This window comes from Homo sapiens, chromosome 15 (genome assembly GCF_000001405.40).
Source record: "Homo sapiens chromosome 15, GRCh38.p14 Primary Assembly".
NCBI lineage: Eukaryota > Metazoa > Chordata > Mammalia > Primates > Hominidae > Homo > Homo sapiens.
Window position 1 is genome coordinate 70,394,459 of NC_000015.10, and position 12,924 is coordinate 70,407,382.

At 47.3% G+C, this 12,924-nt stretch overlaps 3 annotated features.

The window, feature by feature from the left end:
* Positions 422-926: an enhancer, noted in NCBI's record as "H3K4me1 hESC enhancer chr15:70687219-70687723 (GRCh37/hg19 assembly coordinates)". NCBI's record gives its function as "activates a minimal SCP1, AML or CMV promoter by ChIP-STARR-seq in primed H9 embryonic stem cells {active_cell/tissue: H9 hESC(primed)}" and the evidence as "EXISTENCE:reporter gene assay evidence [ECO:0000049][PMID:30033119]".
* Positions 3,594-4,094: an enhancer, noted in NCBI's record as "H3K4me1 hESC enhancer chr15:70690391-70690891 (GRCh37/hg19 assembly coordinates)". NCBI's record gives its function as "activates a minimal SCP1, AML or CMV promoter by ChIP-STARR-seq in primed H9 embryonic stem cells {active_cell/tissue: H9 hESC(primed)}" and the evidence as "EXISTENCE:reporter gene assay evidence [ECO:0000049][PMID:30033119]".
* Positions 12,018-12,519: an enhancer, noted in NCBI's record as "H3K4me1 hESC enhancer chr15:70698815-70699316 (GRCh37/hg19 assembly coordinates)". NCBI's record gives its function as "activates a minimal SCP1, AML or CMV promoter by ChIP-STARR-seq in primed H9 embryonic stem cells {active_cell/tissue: H9 hESC(primed)}" and the evidence as "EXISTENCE:reporter gene assay evidence [ECO:0000049][PMID:30033119]".

A 12,924-nucleotide genomic window follows, 5' to 3' on the forward strand; every position in this document is an offset into this window, starting at 1 on the left:
GCTTGAGCCCAGAAAGTTTGAGACCAGCCTGGGCAACATACCAAGATCCTGTCTCTACAAAAAAATTAAACATTAGCCAGGCATGGTGGCACTCACGTGTTGTCCCAGCCACTTGGGAGACTGAGACAGGAGGATGGCTTGAGCCCAAGAGATTGAGGCTGCAGTGAGCTGTGATTGCACCGCTGCACTCCAGCCTAGGCAACAGAGTGAGACGCCGTCTCAAAAAAAAAAAAAAAAAAAGGCTGTGCGTAACTGGACAGATCTACTAAATATGTCACTGCAGTGCTGCTCTCAGCTCAGCCATCAGTTGAAAGTCCCAAGCTGAGAATGGTATCCTGAGCTGTGGGCCACCAACTTCTCCCAGACCCTCTCAAGCGTGTTTGGGAAGCTCTCCTGGGAATACAAAGAAGCAGACTAAAGGGAGCATGAAGTAAGTCTCCAGACAGAGGCAGGAGTGAATAAGCAGTTTCAGAAACTGGTGGCTTATGAGCACTGAAATCCGGAAGCCCAGGAGGAAGGCTTTTAAGGAATACATGTCTCTCAAATGCCACCCAGGTTTCATTTAAAGAAGTGATTCCTTCAGAAGTACAGGCAGGGGGCTCCTGGGGTCCAGGTTGCTTGGGGCCAATTGAAGAGAAGCCTAAGGCTGGAGGCACAATGGAAGGAATCAGAGGGGAGGTGGAATTCCTGGGAGAAGGAAAGAGGTACTGGCAGCAGGGCTGGCACCGACTCAGCCGCAGGAAATGAACAGCACAATCTGAACCCTCCAGATGAGGTGGGAACAGACAGAAGGACACAGGGAGATACAAAAATGTATCCATTTGAAAGCGGTTCTCTCTGGAAGCCCACTCTCCTCCCAGAAGACACGTGCACCCGTGCCCGCAGAAGCACTCCCTGCCTGCAGCGTTGAGGTCCCATACACCAGCCAGACTCAGTGCCCACTCTCACCGGGCACCAGGCTGAGCAGGCACGGACACTTGTTTTGTCATTTCATGCTCCTGATGACATGCGGGGTGAGGACCATTATCGTCCCCATTTGCTGGTTGTGACACAGGGCTCACAATGTTTAACAATTTGTCTGAGGTCATGTGTCCAGGGAGTAGAGGCGTGAACCGAGATGTGTTCAGGCATGTCAGGTGCATGCTCCTCCTGGAACCCTGTCTGAGAGGGCCCCGGGTGAGGGGCTGTAAAGCCCACATGGCTCCTTCCTTCCACGGAGACAAATGAGAAGGTTAACAATCCAGCTACCCTCCTGCGAGGTTTGAGGGACACAACATCAACGTACTTAGAATGCGTGTAACGACGGCACTTCATTAGGATGAAAACAGCAGCGCAGAACAGCATCACCTTTACTCTCAGATCAGCTTCTCATGACAGGAGCAGAAGTTCAGAAAGTTACAGGTTGAGGTAGGGAATTCTTTTTCAACAGAATTTCAGAAGCAGTGAGTTCTAGTCCTAATTCTGCCCCAACCTGTTTTTGGGGTAAGAGAAGGTGAAATTTAAGCTGGGCCTTGGAAGATGGGGAGGATGGGGGTAGGGCTGATAAAAGCAAAGATCTGAAGGTGGGTGGGCCTCTCCGTTGAGAGCGAGGGTCTCTATTAGCAGAGGGAGACGGGCTCTGCCCACAGTGCTGTCTTCAGTGTTGCTGTTTCTCCCAAGAATTTACCCTCTCCACCCAAGATGTTTAGTCTGTCTCTTGTTGACATAATACCTGTTGTACCTACCATGATGCACAATGTTTTTCCATTACACCTCCCATCCTCAAGCAAATTGGAGAGCATAGCATAAAAAGCTGTCACCATAGATGCATGGTGACCACTGTATTAAATGCATTGGATGCAGAGGAAGTTATTCATGTTCACCCAGGAGTCTCTCTTGAAGCCCTCCACATCTGAGTGGAGGCTGGGGAGCAATAGACACCCGCAGCATGCAGGGAGATGGGGGCTTATAACCTTCCTGACAGTTACAGTATGATGTCAGACCTTGGGTGCTGCCTCACACTTTCAAACAACATCAAACTTGGACTCTCCGAGTACACAGACCTAGAAGGAAGAAACTGCTCTCTCATCCTAAAGAACCCTCCCAGTCTCCCAGACCTTCCTTCCCAATTTCTTAAAGAATGGTCTCGGTGCCAACTTAAATATTGCATTTGGTTGGGAGAGGAGGAACCGCGAGCCCAGAATGGAAGTCAAATTATTCCACAAATATTGCTTATTTAAATAACATTTAAAAAATACATCATGTTCAGTGGTGAAGAACTACTAAATTATTGAATTCCCCAAAGCATCCTATAAGCTTTAAAGTGGCTCATGAAGCCCTATAAAAGAATATAATAAATAGACAAAAAGGAACGCCGGGCTCCATGTCAGAATGCCTGTGTGCGCCAACGCTAAACATCTTCATGTAATCTTTCCACTTAAACCAATGATTAAACAGATTAAACAGATGATTAAACAAATAAAGATTAATGAAACAAGTAAAGTAATCAAATCTGTATGGGTGTATAAACGCATGATTCCAGACAATATTAGAACAAATTGTCTAAAACTAATAGCGAATGCGTCAGTTCAGCTCCAACAGCTTTTGTTGGGCTCTCACTTGGATGTAATCAAAACATTTGTTTAAACTAAGATGGATATGAGGCGCTAAGATGTCAGTTTTTTGAAAGAGAAAAATAAAACAAAAGCAATGTCTTTGGTGAGGAGATTGGCACCGCCAATAGGGCTGCATTACTGAGGAATCTGGGAATGTTGCGTTAAGGGATACCCTGAAATTTAATATCTCTCTATTTTTGAAAATAGGCTCTGCCCAAATTATAAATATAAGCAAGCCAAAAGAAGACGGTGATATCTAAAGTACTTGAGAATTTGAGAGGGATAGAAAAACTGTTCAACCACCCCTCCACCCCCAGTGCTTTAGAAACCCCTTTTTAATTATTAGTCATTGATATGCTAATTACAACACATGCTTATCATTTTCTTCTTTCCTTGAGAAGCAAACTATTCCCTGTGTGCTCTTGCAAGGAATAAAATGGGATTTCTTAGCAAGAATGTTCTATTCAGATTTTTTTTTTATTAATTAAAACTAGTGAATTTTTTTTGTCCTACTTAGGAGTTACTTGGTTTCAACCTGCTGACGGGTACTGGGGTTTTAATTGCAATTTGTTTGTGATTCCTGGCAGAGGAAGTCTAAACCCTTGCTACTCCAGGCGTGGCCCTTGAACCAGCAGCCTCACATAGAAGCCCATTGGAAATGCAGGTTCTCGGGCCCTGTCCCAACCTGCTGAATCGGGATCTTTGTTTTAGTATTTTTCTCAGATAGAATTTGAGAGGCACTGAACCGTGTAGTTTGGGCGGTGGAAAATTCTCTCAGCATGTCAGCAAAGAGGTAAAGAGAGAAGGGCCATTATCTTTCTTCAAGGTAAGACTCTGTAAGAAATGCTTTGAAAACATTATTTTGGGAAGAGTGGCTAGCTGGGGGTCTGCTGCAATGTTTCAGCTGGGACCACAGGGCCTCTCGGGGTAAAGAGAGCAACCTCACACTGTGTCTGTCCTGCTCCTGGGGGCCTGGCCGCTGCTGCCTGCTGGGACAGTGGATGCAGGCTGTGAGGGGAGGTGTCTTGGTTGACACTGTCGGATTGCGAGCAACAGAAATCAGACTAGACTAAGAAAAAACATGAGTCGTTTGCTTGTTTCTTTTCTGTAAAGATGCAAGGAAGCTCCCAGAACCTACAGGCAAAATGCTGCTTCACAAAAGTACTGATGCTATCGCCCAGACAGCCCCATGACTCTCTCTCTTTCTCTCTCATTCTTTCCTCTGCCTCTCTCTGAGTCTCTGTTTAATGCTGTCTCTTTGCAAACCAGCTTGCTCTGTCTCTAGCTTTTGTCACAGCTATCTGCCCAACTATACCCATGGGAGACATATTACTTCCAGCTACCTACAGACTTTGTCTCTTGGCCAAGTTCCAAATTCAAGGTGAGACACCACAGGTGGCTTTGTTTAAGTAGTGACTACACAGTCCAATCAGCTATGGGGGTGAGACCATGTCGAACAGCCATGCCTATGGGGAACATAGCCCTGTGCATGGCTGGTGTGTGTGTGTGTGTGTGTGTGTGTGTGTGAGAGAGAGAGAGAGAGAGAGAGAAAGTGTGTGTGTGTTCTCAGACAGATGGAAGCACAGTAACTCACCCAGGGTTAGACAGTAGTGACAGAGAAAACACTGTGGGCCTCAGCCTCCTCTGAGCCCTCCTCAGTAGTCTTCCTGGGGTCCTGTATGAGCTAAGTGAGCCTCATTGTCACTCCCCTTGCCCTCTCTCCATGCCATCACCTCCCTTTCAGCACCAGAGTCTGGTCTTCAGTGCTCACAGGCTGTCCCCTCACTGTTCAGAAAATACCGTACCTGTTGGGGTTCCTTAGTGTCTTGAAATGTGCTGACAATGGCCAAAATGCCAACATCCTCAGACCCTGATCTCTGAAGGAGGTTTGCACCTAATAGCATAAAGCAGTCTGTGTGATGCCACGGATGGCAATGCGTGGCTGCACCATCCCTCCAGGGTAGCTTGTGGGTATCTCACAGGGGCCTCCAGAAAACGGCACCTGCTCTGGAAGGTGGAAGTGCAGTTATTTGGGGAGATATTTGAGAGAGGAGATATTTAGGAGTGGAATTGCTTTTTTGGAATTCCCTAATCATTCCCAAATCAGGGGATTGAGAGAGGGAGAGATCAAGAAAGTGGAGAGAAATCGATTAAAACTCAAAGAGCCTGTTAAAAATACAGAAGCCTGGGCCCCACCAGATGGTCCTGAATCAGAATCTCTGGAGGTAGAATTTGGGAATGTAATTACTAAACTTCCCTTAGCACCACTCCCCCACCACCCTTCACCCAAGTGACTGACTTGGCCTAGCCATATGGGCACCTAGAAACCACTAGACTGGCCAGACAGGGACCCAGGGGGCCAGGAGAGGTCCCTTGTTCTATGGTCAAACAGCAAGTTGGTGGTGGGCTTGAGACTGAAGTCTGGGTCTCTCAACTCACATTCTAGTATGTTCCCCCAAGCAGGGCAAGGCTCAAAGACAGGGGAAGGGGAAGCCAACCAAGAAAAAGATATAAACTTCTTTAGATAGGAACAAAAATATTCAGAAGTCAGAAAGGCTTTAGTGTGCACAGCTGCTGGCACCAGGTTAAGGATGCCAGGACTGCCCCTCTCCTGGGCCAACTAGAGTCCCCTCCCAGCCCACCCCAGAGTGCAGACTTGGTCACACTCCCCACTCATTATTAACTCAGGACCTGTGGCAAGGGAAAAGACCAGAGACCTTGGAGTCAAAGGGGCCTGGGTCCAAGCTTTGGTTCTGCTCTTTGTGTGATCTAAGAACAAGTTCCTAAATGTCTCAATGTCTCAGTTCCTGTCTGGACATCAGTCCCCTCCAGAGCAGAGTCCAAGAAACAGGCTTGTCTGTAGGTCATTTACCTTGGAAAGGATCCAGAAGGAAGGACCAGCCAGGGGAACGTGGGAGGTGGGAAGCTCATACAAGGATCCATTATGGAGTAAGCCACTGCTACAGTCACCTTCTGAGCCACCCTAGAGAATACATCACAGAAACATCCATGCAGGGAGGAATGGAGAAAACATTCCTCGCTGGCTTCTGTTCCTCCCTGGTTAAGGGCAGCTCCACAGCTCCCTCCCCTGCCCATGGGGTCCCCAAGCCACCTGATGCTTTGGCATCAGAGAAGCCCTGGGATAGGAAGTGAAAGCCCCCAGAATAGTGGGTAAAACCTGCTTGGAACTGCTCATCACAGTGGCTGGAGCAAGAGGTGGGACCAAGATTTTCATAAGGTATCTGATAGAGTTCCCTGTATGGTTTTTATGGGATAAGAGCAGAGTAACAACCCAGAATCAGGGCTGCAAGCAACAGAAACTAGCTGTGGTTATCACAAGCAGAAAGGACCTCAGAATCAACAGGGAACTGAAGAGCAAGGCTTGCAAAATGGAGAAAACGAACGTAGCTGCTGACAGCCAAGCGGTAGGTGGCAAAATGAGCAGGTCCACTGCTGTGGGGCTCTGTCATGAGTCCACTCTAATGGTCCCTTTACCTTTGATGATTTGCTCATGATTCAGAATCCAGGTGGGAGTGTCTGAACTATAGGAAGTAGGCCAGGTGTCCTCACCAGAAATGCCCCCGGATGACTAGCAAGGAAGCATCTTACCCCATTTGCTTTCCAAGGTGGAAGGCAGGGCTTTACCTTCCACCAAGACTCATCGCTAGGAGAGGACTTAGGTTTTGGCAGCCCAAAGAACGAAAAATATTACTATTTAATACATACCGCATGTGAAATGTGCCCAATAGAGAGGCTGATGCTTGGTTGTTGCTCAAGAAAACTCAAGGAAGCTGAGTGATTCACAGCACATGATGAAGTTGTCTTTCTGACTTTCTCTGGTCCCATGCCTCACACTGTGACTGACCAGTGGGTTTCTATAAGGAACCGCAGGCCTCATTAAAGCCAAACCCAGAACCCACCAGGGAAGCTTCCTGGTGAGAAGAGGCCACTGTACTGACAAGTTCCCAGCTGTTCTCCCTCAGCTCTGCCTCCCTGCAGGATTAACTTTGATTTCTGCTGCCCAGAGAGATCAAGTCTCTTTCAGAACACTTTGCTCCTTTCTAGCCCTGGAGAGTTTAAGGATTTATGTTTGTGTTGATGAGGGAGGTGCTTTCTCATACCATCAGGGAGCCCTAACATGAGAGAGCTGGAAAGGATCCTAGAGAGAGTCTCTCCATTGTCTGGATGGGGACACTGAGTCCAGAAAAGGTTGTCCAAGATAACATAGCTTGTGAACATCAGGGCAAGAACAAGGGACTCAGTTACAAAATCTCTCAACTCTTCCCTCTGGATTGGTCAGCTCTCCACACACACCCGCCCCCAACCCGCCTCCCCCAACAATAGGATGCTTTAACTCAATCACATCTTTAGAGACTGCCTTTAAAAAGAGGCTCTTTCAAGTATCAAGCCCAGCCTTCTCTTGCTTCCCCACTCACTCCTGAGCTACTTCTGAGCCATTTCCCTTGTGTGCAAAGGTTGGCAGTGATGGTGTTTTGAGTGCTTTCTATGACAAAGAGCCAATTTGAAGACCATGAAGATCTGCAAATGTGCCAAGACAAGGACATTTCAGCAGAACCATGACACCACGTCCTCTTAGACCTGGAAAGAATTTTGGAGAATTCCAAAATTAAGAATGAAGCTTTATTTTGCCAATGAAGAAACAAAACCCATAGATGAAAAGTGACTTTCCCAAGGTCCCACAGCTAATCCGTGGCAGATCCAGGCCTAGAGTTAAATTCCGTTCTCCAAGTATGATGTTCCTTCCATCCCATTATGCTGGAGAATGCTTCCCCATCCCAAATGGCTTATCCGTTGAGTCATCTCTGGCAAAGTCCTTTGGCAAACTTTCGCCCTTCCTTTGTCCTCAAAAACAACATCTTTCCACACCACTTTGCAAGCATCCATTTGCTGTCCTAAAATTACTGCAGCCTCATTTGCTTATTTTAGCTACAATGGGTCTGCAATTTACACTCAGCTTGTGTGAGTTGCCCAAAAGCCAGAATCAGTCCCCAATCCCCAGGCAAGCCTGTCTTTGAGTGGAGACCATAAAATGCAGGCCAGTTATGGCCAAAAAAAATATCAAGGAGGAAAGGATTTAACGGGCTTCTGCACTTTCCACATTCCCTGGGTCACTAAAGAAGCTACTTCCATTAAGAATTCTCACTCGTCTGTAACCCAAGAAATAAATCAGGTGCTCAACTGAACCACACTTCCAGGGTGGCTCCCCATCATGCATCAGGGAGTTGGCACTGCGGGCACCAATATTTATAGATCAGGTCAAGCAATGACACATTAAGCACGTTCTAAGAAACAGAGGTCTTTGCATGCTCGACACCAACAGGGAAGGAGTGAAAGAAATGGAGCACTGGAGACCTGCAGAATGTTTCAAGCAGCCTTGAGGACCTGGAGGGCACTGTGGGAGGTAGACAGGAATTCCCAAGTGCTTTTCAATATCCATTTAATCATCCAATAGTTCCCATACTTTAAGGTGGTTGTCTGAATTGTGGGTTTAAGCAAACAGCATGCTTTTCAGCTTCAATCCATCCTTGTATTCCTGCAGTGCCCAGCACAGTAGCTGGCACACACTGTCTGCTGAAGGAATTAATTAATCCCTTTACAAAATAAAAGTGATCCAGTCTTGCTCATAGTTCTACCCAGCGAGGGTACACTCACTGAGTAACTGCTTGGTAAGTAGCTTTCCATAGGGTGCCCCATGGCTCCTGCCTTCAAGGCGCAGGCAATTTAGCAGAGGAAACAAGCAGCACACATGTGGTCTGATGATATTTTTAGTCTTTAATGTGCTTTCTTTTTTGCTTTCTTGGAGGGTGACCTTGGTCCATCTCAGGGAACTGTCTGCCTGGAGAGAGATTAGACTTTGTTTCCAAAGGGATGCAGAAAGAAAGATTGAGGCAATATTCAGTTATTGACAGACAAAATAGGATTACGCATGAGAGCACTAGTCTAGTGGTGAACCCAGCTATTGTCTCAGAAAGGATATTTAAAATTCCTTTATCTTCTCCACTAGCATGCTAACCACCAAGACCAGGGGATAGTTCACACTCTTCCTAAAATCAGTGGGCAAAACATGGGCCCCGTTTGCCATTAAGGCTCAAGCAATCTGGTCAAGCAATGACACATTAAGACCCAGCCAAAAGTTGGAGGTGGAAAGAGGGAGAATACAATGGGTGTGAGCCCCTCACTCTCCCCCAACATAGGAATGGCTGCAGCAGGGGGTGATGAACCCTTCACCAAGGCTAGGGGTGGACTGCAGGCCAGAGGGCTAGACACAGGACTGGCTGACCTCAGCAGGTCTGCATCCATGGGCATTGAGAAGAGGCAGAGTCAGCCAAAAGGTGCCACTGAACTATGGAGACCCATCACAGTCTTCCCCTGCCTCAGGCTCTGGCAGCAAATGATCCCAGAGCAAACAACACCCAGGTGGACAGGGCAGAGGAGGACAGGACACCCCATCCAGGGGCTTAGACTCATCCCCCACACTGTCACCATATGGATTTGTAAGCCCATCTTCCCATGTATGTGGACCTCACCTTAGCAAGTGCAACAGTTGAGTATTTTTACTCCAATGAGCAAAAATTTTCCTAGGGGGGCTGTTCAAAATTATTAGAGCCAACTACATTCAGTCATATTAAAAAATTCAAATTGTTTTTTTTCCCTGCTCACCAGTATTGAGAGGAAGATCTGGTTATTGAAAAATAGCAACCAGTTATATTTTCTCTGCATATAGGAATACATATATCTCCTGTGCAGGGGAGTGTGTGATGATGGCCAAATGAACGGAAGGATAGGAGGCCAGCAGAAGCCCAGAGCAAGACCAGGCAAGGAGAGAGTGGGCATTTCTCATTCCTGTCTGACCGGCTCTACTTTCTCACTTCCAGTCATCTGCTCTTCCTTGGAGGACACACCTCCCCCAGGCCAGGTGGTCAGGGTGAGGTTATCAGTCACAGTCCCCTTCCTACCAAGACTCAGGTAAGTGACCCCCCCTTCACTGGCCAATCAGAGAGGTGGCGCCTATGTGAATGTAGTGATTGGTTCTAGGCGGCTGCGTGAGCCAAGCAGGACTGCTAGGGTTTCCTCTAAAAACCGAGATGCTGAGGGGGGAAAGAGATGCTGGGAGAGACAGGAAACTTCTTCCTTTTGACTTTCAATCCATAAGGAATCAGGCTTCAGGCTACCAGGGGCCATACTCCTTACCCCACATAAAGAAGGACACTGACTCAAAAAGGGAAGCCAAGAAAAGAGATGGCTAGAGAGAGACAAAGTCCCAATGGCATAATTTGTTCCCTGGATCCATCTGTGCCTCAGGTTAACCATAGACTCCTCAGTTACATGAATCACTAGCTTCCGTATTTTTCTTCTCAACCTAGCTTGAGTTGAGGTTTTTATAGTTACCACCAAAGACAGCCTTACTCATATGGAGATATCAGGAAAGCTTCTGGAGCAGATGTCTCAAGCTAAACCTTGGAAGATGAGTAGTGCAGTGGGCTGAATGTTTGCATCCTCTTGGAATTCAGATGTTGACATTTTAACTGCCCCTGTGATGGAATTAGGAGGTGGGGCTTTGGGAGGTGATTAGGTCATGAGAGTGGAGTCCTTATAATTATGCAAATATGGCTGAGATCGGGTGGCTCATGCCTGTAATCCCAGCACTTTGGGAGGCCAAGGCAGGAGGATCTCTTGAGCCCAGGAATTCAAGACCAGCCTGGGCAATGTAGCGAGAGCCCTTCTCTACAAAAATTATTAAAAATTAGCCAGATATGGTGGCTAATGTGCACCTGTAGTCCTAGCTACTTGGGATGCTGAGGCAGGAGGATCACTTGAGCCCAGGAGTTTGAGGCTGCCGTGGGCTATAATCACATCACTGCACTCCAGTCTGGCTGACAGAATGAGACCCTATCTATTAAAAAAAAAAAGAAAAAAAGACGCAAGAAAGATGATCCCTGTCCACCACATGAAGACACAGCAAGAAGGTGGCCCTATATAAACCAGGAAGAGGGCTCTCACCGAGAACCCAACCATGCCGGCACCTTGACCTCAGACTTGCAACATCCAGAGCTGTGAGAAAATAAGTTGTTGCTGTTTAAGCCACCCAGGCTATGGTATTCCATTACAGAAGCCCAAAGTGATTAGGACGGAAACTTGTGTGTTCAATTTTTGGGCTGGTGACAGGGATGGACAACACGGAAAATGGAGGAGAATGAACGCCAATATGCAAGGTGGTATGTGGGATCTGGGTGAAGCACAGGAGTGCAGAGAGAAGAAGTGGAATGCAAGGTCCAGAGTGAGGCTAGGCCCAAATTATGGAGACTCTGAATAGCAGAGAGAGGAAGGTCCTCCGTTTTCCTAAAGGCAGTGGAGATTCATAAAAGGAGTTTGAGCAGAATATGGCTCAATTAGAATGAGCATCCTATGAAGGACCTTAAAAATCACTGGGTCCAACTCCTACTTTTACCAAAGAGGAAACTGAGGGCCAGAGAAGGGACATGACTTGTCTGAGATCACTAAGCAAGCCAATGGCAAAGTCAAGATTAGAGTCCAGGTCCACATGTACCTAGACTGTAAAAGAAATGTCAGAATCTTTTAGCAACTTTTCTCATAGGTAAGTGGGAGGCCAACCATCTGTATTTATTTTCTATTGATGCAGAACAAATCAGTACAAACTCAGTGGCTTCAAATAGCATCTGTCTACCAGCTCATGGCTCTATAGGTCAGAAGTGGGCACAGCGTTGCTATTGCCTGATCAGGTAATGACACAACTGACATCAAGGTGTGGCCAGGCTGAGTTCTCAACTGGAGGCACTAGGGAGAAATCCACTTTCAAGCTCATTCTTCTTGTTGGTAAAATTCATTTCCTTGTGGTTGTAGGACTGAGGTCTTTTTTCTTACGGACTATTCTCAGCTTTCAAAGGCCACCCAAATTTCTTGCCACATGGACTCCTCCATTTTCAAGCTAGAAATGGTGTATGGAATCATTCCCATACTTCAAGTTTCTAACTTTCTCTTCTGCAACCAGCTGGAGAAAACGCTGTACTTTTAAAGGACCCATGAGATTAGGTCAGTCTCCCTCAATAATCTCCCTGTTTTTAAGTCAACTGTTTAGGGACCTTAATTACATCTGCAAAATCCCTTCACAGCAGTACCAAGAAGGGTTTGACAAACAGGGGAAGGTGTGTGTGCACCAGGGTAATCCTAGAGATCATCTCAGAGTTCTGCCTCCCACAGCGACATACTGCCATCCCCCGGCATGGGCCACTAACTGGGGAGTCTGACAGCTCATGTCATTGAAGTGGGATGTGTGTTGGGTGGTATATAACCACGCAGAAGACAAGCCCATCACCTCAAATAAAGAACCAGAACTCAAAGCTCAAAGCAAGGGCCCCTTGGCCCAGGGCAGCTATCTGAGCTAAGCAGCCCACAGCTGTATCTGTCTGCATTGGGCATCTATGTTTGTTTAGGGGATTCTCCTCATGATTGGCAGCACTATCTGTGACCCACATAAGTGTGCTGGCAAGATTCAGCATGGTCACTTGCACTTCCTTGGTAACTCCTTCAATTGCATTCCCTGGATTTGTGACATCCTACCATTAGCTGGCCCGGCTCATCCCCACCCCTCTCCTGCAACTAACTCATGGCCCTGAAAGAATCTGCACCATCCTCCACTCTCCTGGGCCAGCCTGAGCTGGTCATTGTGCAGCCTGGAAGAGCCATCAGTGTGATGATGACCCATGCCCTCTGCTGAATGACCACACTGCAGCAGCATGGAACCCAACACCTCCCGGGTCACTGGCCTGCGTCATCTGGATTCAACTAATCCAGCCCAGCCAAGCACCCTTATGTCAGCAGGTTTACCCATAAGCCACGTGATCAGTATTCAATAAGTTCAGCACTTAGCTTGTTTAATCAATTCCTTTACAGAGAGTTCCATGGGACTGAGGGGAAAAAAAACTACCCAAATACAGAAATCCAGGGGGAAACAAAGTAGAAAGAAGAACCCATTGTTATTCTAATTCCAGTCCCTGACTTCCCTCCTCCCTACAAGGAGAGCTTGCCCTTGGGAGACACCTGCTTCCCGCTGCCCTGGGACAGCTCTGGAAGGTCGGCACCCCCAGCGGGCCCCCCTAGCAGGAGCCACTCAGTCTGGGAGAAGCAGCAACTGCCACACTGTCTTGTGCTCCAGGAGAGGGCTGACTCTGATTCTCCCAGGCTCCAGCAGGTCGGCTCGGCTCCGAGCAGTTTGTTTTTTGAAAGTCTCATAAATTTCCAAGAAACTTCTCCAGACAACTGTCACGAGGCTGCACCTGCCAAACAAACA